At 36.6% G+C, this 9,159-nt stretch overlaps 1 annotated feature.

Moving 5' to 3' along the window:
• Positions 3,222–3,391: an enhancer, noted in NCBI's record as "experimental_83006 CRE fragment used in MPRA reporter constructs". NCBI's record gives its function as "activates a minimal promoter by MPRAs in K562 erythroleukemia cells, with activity observed for the introgressed 5:151976143 variant allele {active_cell/tissue: K562}" and the evidence as "EXISTENCE:reporter gene assay evidence [ECO:0000049][PMID:34662402]".

Below are 9,159 nucleotides of genomic sequence, written 5' to 3'. Positions count from 1 at the left end.
TTCTACCTGGTTCATCCCAATATTTTCTATAGTCTTTGGCATGGATAGGCACAAACTAAATATTTGTGGAAGAAAGAGAGGAGAGGAGAGGAAAGAGAAGGAATGGAAGTGTCAATAAATGTTAGGCTGGAACCAGAGTCAAAGACTGGAGTTATAGGTGAGTCTATAGTTCTGTATCTTACATGCATGTAGGCAAACTCTATCTGACTCGTTCTGGGGGTTAGGAATTGTGTGAGAGCATTAATGAGAAGAGAAACTAAGAAAGCATGAGAGCATGATTTAAATAGTATAAGCAGTTCCATACACCATTCCCCTCAATAAGCCTCATGTCCAGTAGTGAGTGTGAGGTGGGAGACTTAGCAGATCTAGTTCTTACCTGTGCTTCATGGAATGAACATCTAACAGGGCTGTATGTGCTTTCTGTTTAATGACACACTGCACTTTTTTCTATATTACACAGTCCTGAAAATACTTTAACTATATTCATCCAAAGAAATAGATATCTGTTTTGTCACTGGAGGAAAAACTGGCCCTGTTGAATTTCTGAGGTATTATGTCACCTGCTTAGGATATTTTCAAGAATAGTTGTAACTAAACCTGATGTTTGCCTCCCATGCTGACTTGAGAGTCCGTTTTTAAATATGAGGCTTGACTGCCTTGTTAGTCTTCATTGATGCACTAGTTCTACTGAACTTGCCTTTTATCTTAAAATAACATCTTAAAATTCTGTAATTTTAGAGGAGAATTTTTCTCTACTGCCTTTTTCTTCTGAGTCACAAAATACTTGTGAATCTAAATAGAAGACACCCTTTTCTTCAAAATACCTGTAAAATGCTGCTGGCTAGAAACTTCAAAACAAATAAAAACCTCTCTCGCGCCTTGTAGAATTACAAGGGCGTTCTGTAAAATCAATACGGCTGAAATGCACTCGGTATTGAGTTGGCCTTGGGAAAAGGGTACTCATCTAAGACAGCAGACATTCCCTCCAGTTGAGGCTTTGAATTTAATTAATGGCTTTATAGGGAAGGGTTTGCTTTCCTGAGGATCCTAGACTTGGTTTTCAAACACCACCCTTCTTCTGATTTATGTTGTGATCCTGGGCAATTTATTTCCCATCTTTGAACTCGGTGTCCCCATCAATTAAAAGAAAAGTCAGAGAAAGTAATGTCTATGGTTGTCTCCATCCTTGGCAAAGTGACTCCACATTCAAGCCACATCAAATAAGCATATAAATTAAACCAATGTGTCCATTTTAAGACAAGGTTTCTAGCTCATATAAGACTCTCCAACTAAGAAATTCTGGAACTACCACTATCTGTAACTATGGTTCTGGTTTTAAAAGATGGAGGATGATACAGAAGGGCAAGGGCCACTTTAGTTTGTCATGTATTTCAAATTTAAGTAAAATTTCTAATATAACTTCTGGGGCTAACCTTAAAGAATAAAAAAAAAAATCCCCTTATGGTTGACTTTAGGATATGTCCTGGTCAGCTAACAATGTCTTTCAAAATCCCAGACACCCTTCAGAAATTTTACCTGTAAAATTCCCCTGTTAGAAGGCAAATCCTATTGGCAGGGCAACCCCCTAAGGCCATGTTTGTTATTTACGAGCTGGGGAAATAGGGATACAAGTAGGTGGTACTGGGGTATAGAAATACTAAGTTAGGTGCCAGACACTAAAGCCATATTTCACTAATCCACAATTTGCCAAGGTGTCTCCCACACTAGGTCTCTAGTTGCAATAATTGAGTATTTCATATGGTTTTGCCCAAAAGGCTGTCCACTCTGCAAATCATTGTTATCTGAAGCCCTCAAAGAACACAAGATTTCTTTATTCTACCTACTGAGTGGTACTTCTGTCCTGTAAACTTACAAAGTGTAGGAATTCAGGACAGAGACACAGCTGGAATAGGAACAATAGAAACTTTTTACAACTAGTTATGCCTTTAAAGCAATAAGTAAAAATAAAGACAGGCACAGACATGGCTTTTGTTAAAGATGACAAAAAGATACCACAGGAAACAGTGTTAAACCAAGACCTTGGGAATCACAGACAATATAGGAAAAAGGTGGTACTTTTTATGCAAATACCACCCCCATCAATTAATGGTACAGATGTTGTTCAACCCATCCTTCCCCTCCCCTGGGCATCTCCCATGATCTATCCCAGCTATGGCTTTGCCCAAGAAGTCACCAATTCTAACACTCTCATTTTACATTTTGTGTGACTGAGGCATAGCATCCAAAAATAGCTATTTGCTTATGGGCACATAACAAGTTTTAGTGGCAAAACATAAACTCTCTCGTCTGTCTACAATTTTGTTGGTAGCTGTGTTTATGGCAGAGTCCTAAATTATACTTATTCTCCCAAGAACAATTTTTTTTTCAGAAATATGCCAAACTACCGGCAGTAGAAAAATTCATAAAAGCAACCCATTTCATTCTCAGGACAGACAAGGACTAAGATGCTTAAATTAAATTTAATTTAAAAAGAAAAAAGAAACACCTTGGGATTATCTAGTTCTATCTGCCAAGTGCAAAATTTCATGCTGATTCATGTCAGTTCTCTTCCTACAATCACATCTCCCATTTATAATTGCTAAATATGCCAGGTTCACAACATTTCCCCATTTGGGTGCCCTATTTGAATTTGTATATAAATACTCACTCCTCCAAATGTTCCATTTGAATACACAAAATATCCATTTCAGCACAGAGTGCATAAATTCTAGGCCAGAGGAGTGTGATGTACTGCAAAATAGCACCAACTCTGGAGTCAGGTCATAGAGATACAGACATGGCTCAAGTGTATCCTGGCCATGGGACCTTGGGTAAGTCAGTTTCTCTGTCTGAACCTGTTTTCTTAATCCCAACGCAGAGGAAATGAGACTTTTCATGTTCCTCTCGCTGAAAAATTGGAAGAATCATATGAGGCCATAGATATGATGTTTTTAACTGTTCATGATCCTTGCTTTGAGTTAAAAGAAATATAATCGGAGGCAGATATTTAAATACGTTACAAGGAACTTTGGAGCCAAGTGGTATGTGCTCAGTTCCAATCTTTCTACCAACTTGCTTATGTTTCTTCTCTGGGCTGTAAGTCCTCATCAATGAAATAAGAATGCAAGATTGAATAATTTTTAAATCTCTGCTCTAATTCTGAATCTGGCCAATTCAGTGTTTGCAGCATTATTTAACAGTCCTGTCATCGTGACTTGAGTTTTTGTCATATCATTACCTGAATAAACTCTCTAACCCCTTTCAGAGCCAGGATTCTGCCTCTATCCACGTGGAATATGGGACTATTATATAGAACAGTAAAACTTGCCATATGTAACAACTAAAGACAATGTGGGACCCCTAAGCTGGGTCCTGGAAGAGGGGACAAAAATAGTGAAAAAAAACTGATGAAATATAAATACAGTCTAAGTTAGTTAATAATTTTGTTCCAGTGTTAATTTCTTGGTTTTGATCTTTGTTATATGGTTAGGTAAAACGTTAACATTACTTATGAGAAGCTGAATTAAGTGTTCACAAGAACTCCCTGTACTGTCTTTATAACTCATGGGAAGTCTAAGATTATCTCAAAACAAAATGTCAAAAACATATGCACACTATTTTTCATAGGAATCATCTGAAGCATGAGTTGAAAACACAAATTTCTCCAATCCCAGAGACATGGAAATGATAGTCCTGGAGCAGAGCCCAGGAATCTGCATCTCAACAGGTATACCAGGAGACTCTGATGCAGATTTCTTAGGAATAATACTTGAAAAAACTCTGATCTGAAAGGAGCACCACTTCACAATAAAATGAGTGATAATTACAGATAAGTAAATTAAAAATATATATAACCCGAGGATATAAAAGGGCTCTGGGATATCTAAGTTTGGGGTTTACCTCTTTCAATTGCAGTATAAAATTAGACAAATTACTAATATATTGGGCCTCACAATCCTCATTATAAAGGAAGAAGGTAGATTATAGGTCACTAATGGGATTCCTGTAGAATACATAAATAGAAAGTCCAGAATGGTGAACAGTATTCCCCAAAACCTCACATTGGCAGCCACAAGTCTCTTACAGCATCTCTGTGGATTCCTTTCTCTTATGCTACTCAACAGGGCCAAGCTGCAGCATCTGTCCTAACCATGCAAGGGTCTGGTCCTGCAGTGAGTTAAAGCACAGCCACAAAGGGGACACAGCCAGGTTAACAAAACACAGCCCCTATAACTAGGTCAGCAGCAGGGGATGTTAAATTTTGAATTTGCTTAATTGAGTGGAAAATCAGAGACTGTAATTCCAATAGCAAGCTCTTTCGCATTGTGAAATAGAAATCCTAACCTCCATCTGTGAAGACTCTGGGGAAAAGAAATAAGGTCTTTGGCTCTAGGCCTTTCATTACAGAGCAATTTTATAACAGATGAGGCTACAGACTCACAGCTACTGTGTCTCTGGAGAGACCCTGCCCAGAAGAAAAAGGAGAAATGTGGATTTAAATTAGCTCAGAGCAACTAAATGTAAGAGTGGCACTAACTAGAGTCTGGGCATGGCCCCTTGCTTCTTGCTTGACTATTATCTCTTCTAAGTGTAGTGCATGCATACACACACACACACACACACACACACACACACACACACACACTAGTGTGAGTATAAACTTTCCTAATCAGAGGGGTTGGGGTATATACATAAACAGAAATTCCCACAGCACAGGTAATACGCCAAACTCATCCGATTCCAATTCTGTTGACCTGACTCAAGAGGTTAAGTAGATTAATGTGGGTTTTTAGAATTTTTTTTTTTGTACAAAGAGCTTTAAATCAAATTACATTTATTAACAGACAAGTAACCAATTACATGGAAATACCTGTCTTTAGGAGAAGTCAACTCAATAAATATCTTCAAAAAATACTATTTACACTTTTTTTGGTTATAGAAAATCCAAAACCAATGCCAATATTTCTTAAATTACTTTGTTTTCAGAAACAACGCAATGAAAGTCCTTTAATAGATTCAGAGAGAAATAAATGTAATTTATTATTAAAATACAATTTTGCCTAACAGTATTATTTTTATTGAATCTGTTTTCATTTATGTTGCATTCAGACATGGGATTCTAAAGCTGACTAGCTTTTGAGATATATTGAATAGACTCTTAAGAAAAGTTGTAATGGCACAGAGTGGCACAGTCATCAAAATTAAATTGACTAAATTAAATTAAATTGACTATCAGGAACTCTGTAGAATTTCCAATAAAGTGACCAAAAATTATTAGCTCTCACTATGGATTTTATATTTGGTCTGATATAAATGTTAGAAAGTTTTTCTTTATATCGATCTCAAAGTACTTAAATTTCAACCTGTGTTATTTCTAGTTCTATTATTTGGAGCTGAATAATATATCCTTTATTTTTAAGGGCAGCATGGCTTCTTATTTTCTTTAATGTTTTTAATAGTACCTACAAATCGACTCTAAATCTTTCCTTTCAATAGAACATATGACACTAACGTTTTCTGAGTGTAAACATGTCACTTGTTATTATAGACCATGATTATACAGCATATTTAACTTCTTTAAACCTTGGTTTCCTCATTTGTAAAAAGGAGCAAAAAAATTGACATCACTTAATTTTCATCTTAAAAACAAGTTTTAAGTTGTACTTTATGTTGAATTACACACACACACACACACACACACACACAGAGAGAGAGAGAGAGAGAGAGAGAGAAAAGAAAGTGGGATAAAGCATCCAAATTGAGATGCAGGTGCTCAAAAGCAGCAGCAAGAATTTGAATCCAGACCCAACAACTCTAAAACTCCACACCTTTATTAGGATGACTCCAGGGAAACAATTGTAGATTCCAGTGCTTTTCCTGAAAGCCAAAATGAATTTAGACCTCTAAAACATAAAGAGAAGAGAAAAATTGGGGATGGAGGGGGGATGGCATATCTGATTTGTCAGTTTGACAGTTTGTGTTTAACAATGGTTTCCTCAGAGTAAAACATGCTAGGTATGTAGAACGAGTTCCCCTAGCATCTGGAACCAAGATCTAACCCAAGGTGAAATATAATGAACAGAAATCATTTCATGTATTTATTCCAGAGATCCTAATCTTCTGGATAAAGAATTACAGGTATGGGCATGGAAATAATCAACCGGAGTCAATAAGCTGAAAGTTAGTGTGTTGAATCAGTAGTTCAATCTTCCTTTATGTTTTGCTTTGTTTACCAGGGGTCAGACCATGTTATTTGTTTAACCAAGACTACTGCTTACTGTTGTGTAAGTTTTTTGTTTCCCAACTCTAGAGGGCACTACTCACATTCCTTGTCACTATGTATTTGTTGTGATATCAGGGCAATTTTCAAGCAGATCACATTAAAGTGACTTAAAGAAGTTTAAATTGAAAATATATATTATGTATATTTTATATGCAATATATATCATATAACAGATATTATTTGTAATATATAATATGATATGTTATATATTTTATATTATATATCATATATAATATCTATTATATGTAATATATAATGATATGTAATATATAACATAAAATATATATAATATATGATATATAATATATATGATATGATTATATATAATATATAATCATATCATATATTAAATATATTATATATATCAGATAATAGCAGGGTTGTGCTTTGCCTTAGAACCACAAAGAGAGAAATATCTGGAGGATTGTGCTAAGTCACAGCATAAAACCCTTTGTATTGTAGACAAAGCAGGAAAAAATCCAAGCATCAGTAGAAGAAAAGATAAAAGTGCTCAGGAATTGTGGCACATTCCTTTCTGGCATTCTCCTAGTCTTCCAACTCATTTGAGCACCCTACCTGCTTAGAAAGCCCATAACCCTGGCTCAATTCTACAGTCTTCTGTCTCTGCCCTTCTAAGTGACTAGCATCACTAGAAAGATTCATTTCACTGTGAAAATCAGAGTCTTTATAATTTCATGAGTTGAAGCTGCTTATGAGCCTCATGTTTTTTGTGATCAGTTCACTTTCCCATTTTTCATGGGAATTCTGCAGGCCTTTATCACTATCCTCAAGCCCAGTACTCAGCCCTTGTATCTCTCTTAAAGTATGGTTCAGTATTCTATTTCATCAAAAAATTGAGGCCACCAAGGGTGATTTGCAACTATCTTCCCTACTGCCAACTACAAATTACCTGTGTCTATACCAATCCTCACCTTCATTCCTCCAGTCTTTAAAAATAACATGATATAGCATTCCCTCCAGAAACTGCTCCCTCTTGTGTACATTCATGTTCCTTCTTCCACCTTTGGTTGTAGATATTTAACGGAAGCCAGAACAACCTTATCTGCATCTCCCACAGCTGCCTGAAATGTAACTTGTCTAAACTTCTATCTTCTCCCCTAAATTGCTTTTTCCTACCAATATTCTTGATATAATTTCGTAGTACTATCAACCTGTAAATCAGGGAGTGTTTTCTCTTCATTTACATTATGTATATCTCCTAATGCTATCCCTCCCCCTCCCCCCACCCCACAACAGGTCCCAGTGTGTGATGTTCCCTACCCTGTGTCCAAGTGTTCTCATTGTTCAATACCTACCTATGAGTGAGATTATGTGGTGTTTGGTTTACTGTCCTTGTGATAGTTTGCTGAGAATGATGGTTTCCAGCTTCATCCATGTCCCTACAAAGGACATGAACTCATCCTTTTTTATGGCTGCAGAGTATTCTGTGGTGTATATGTCCTACATTTTCTTAATCCAGTCTATTATTGATGGAAAATTGGGTTGGTTCCAAGTCTTTGCTATTGTGAATAGTGCTGCAATAAACATACGTGTGCATGTGTCTTTATAGCAGCATGATTTATAAACCTTTGGGTATATACCCAGTAATGGGATGGCTGGGTCAAATGGTATTTCTAGTTCTAAATCCTTGAAGAGTCACCATACTGTCTTCCACAACGGTTTAACTAGTTTACAGTCCCACCAACAGTGTAAAAGTGTTCCTGTTTCTCCACATCCTCTCCAGCACCTGTTCTTTCCTGACTTTTTAATGATCGCCATTTTAATTGGTGTGAGATGGTATCTCATTGTGGCTTTGATTTGTATTTCTCTGATGGCCAGTGATGATAAGCATTTTTTCATGTGTCTGTTAGCTGCATAAATGTCTTCTTTTGAAAAGTGTCTGTTCATATCCTTTGCCCACTTTTTGATGGGGTTGTTTGATTTTTTCTTATAAATTTGTTTAAGTTCTTTGTAGATTCTGGATATTAGCCCTTTGTCAGATGGGTAGATTGTAAAAATTTTCTCTCATTCTGTAGGTTGCCTGTTCACTCTGATGGTAGTTTCTTTTGCTGTGCAGAAGCTCTTTAGTTTAATTAGATCCCATTTGTCAATTTTGGCTTTTGTTGACATGGCTTTTGGTGTTTTAGTCATGAAGTCATTGCCCATGTCTACGTCCTGAATGGTATTGCCTAGGTTTTCTTCTAGGGTTTTTATGGTTTTACATCTAATATTTAAGTCTTTAATCCATCTTGAATTAATTTTTGTATAAGGTGTAAGGAAGGGATCCAGTTTCAGCTTTCTACATATAGCTAGCCAGTTTTCCCAGCACCATTTATTAAATAGGGGATCCTTTCCCCATTGCTTGTTTTTCTCAGGTTTCTCAAAGATCAGATGGCTGTAGATGTGTGGTATTATTTCTGAGGACTCTGTTCTGTTCCATTGGTCTGTTTCTGTTTTGGTACCAGTACCATGCTGTTTTGGTTACTGTAGCCTTGCAGTATAGTTTGAAGTCAGGTAGCATGACGCCTCCAGTTTTGTTCTTCTGGCTTAGGATTGTCTTGGCAATGCAGACTCTTTTTCGGTTCCATATGAACTTTAAAGTAGTTTTTTCCAATTCTGTGAAGAAAGTCATTGGTAGCTTGATGGGGACGGCATTAAATCTATAAATTACCTTGGGCAGTATGGCCATTTTCACAGTATCGATTCTTCCTGCCCATGAGCATGGAATGTTCTTCCATTTGTTTGTGTCCTCTTTTATTTTGTTGAGCAGTGGTTTGTAGTTCTCCTTGAAGAGGTCCTTCACATCCCTTGTAAATTGGATTCCTAGGTATTTTATTCTCTTTGAAGCAGTTGTGAATGGGAGTTCACTCATGATT

This window comes from Homo sapiens, chromosome 5 (assembly GCF_000001405.40).
Source record: "Homo sapiens chromosome 5, GRCh38.p14 Primary Assembly".
NCBI lineage: Eukaryota > Metazoa > Chordata > Mammalia > Primates > Hominidae > Homo > Homo sapiens.
This window is presented reverse-complemented; position numbering and strand designations above follow the sequence as displayed.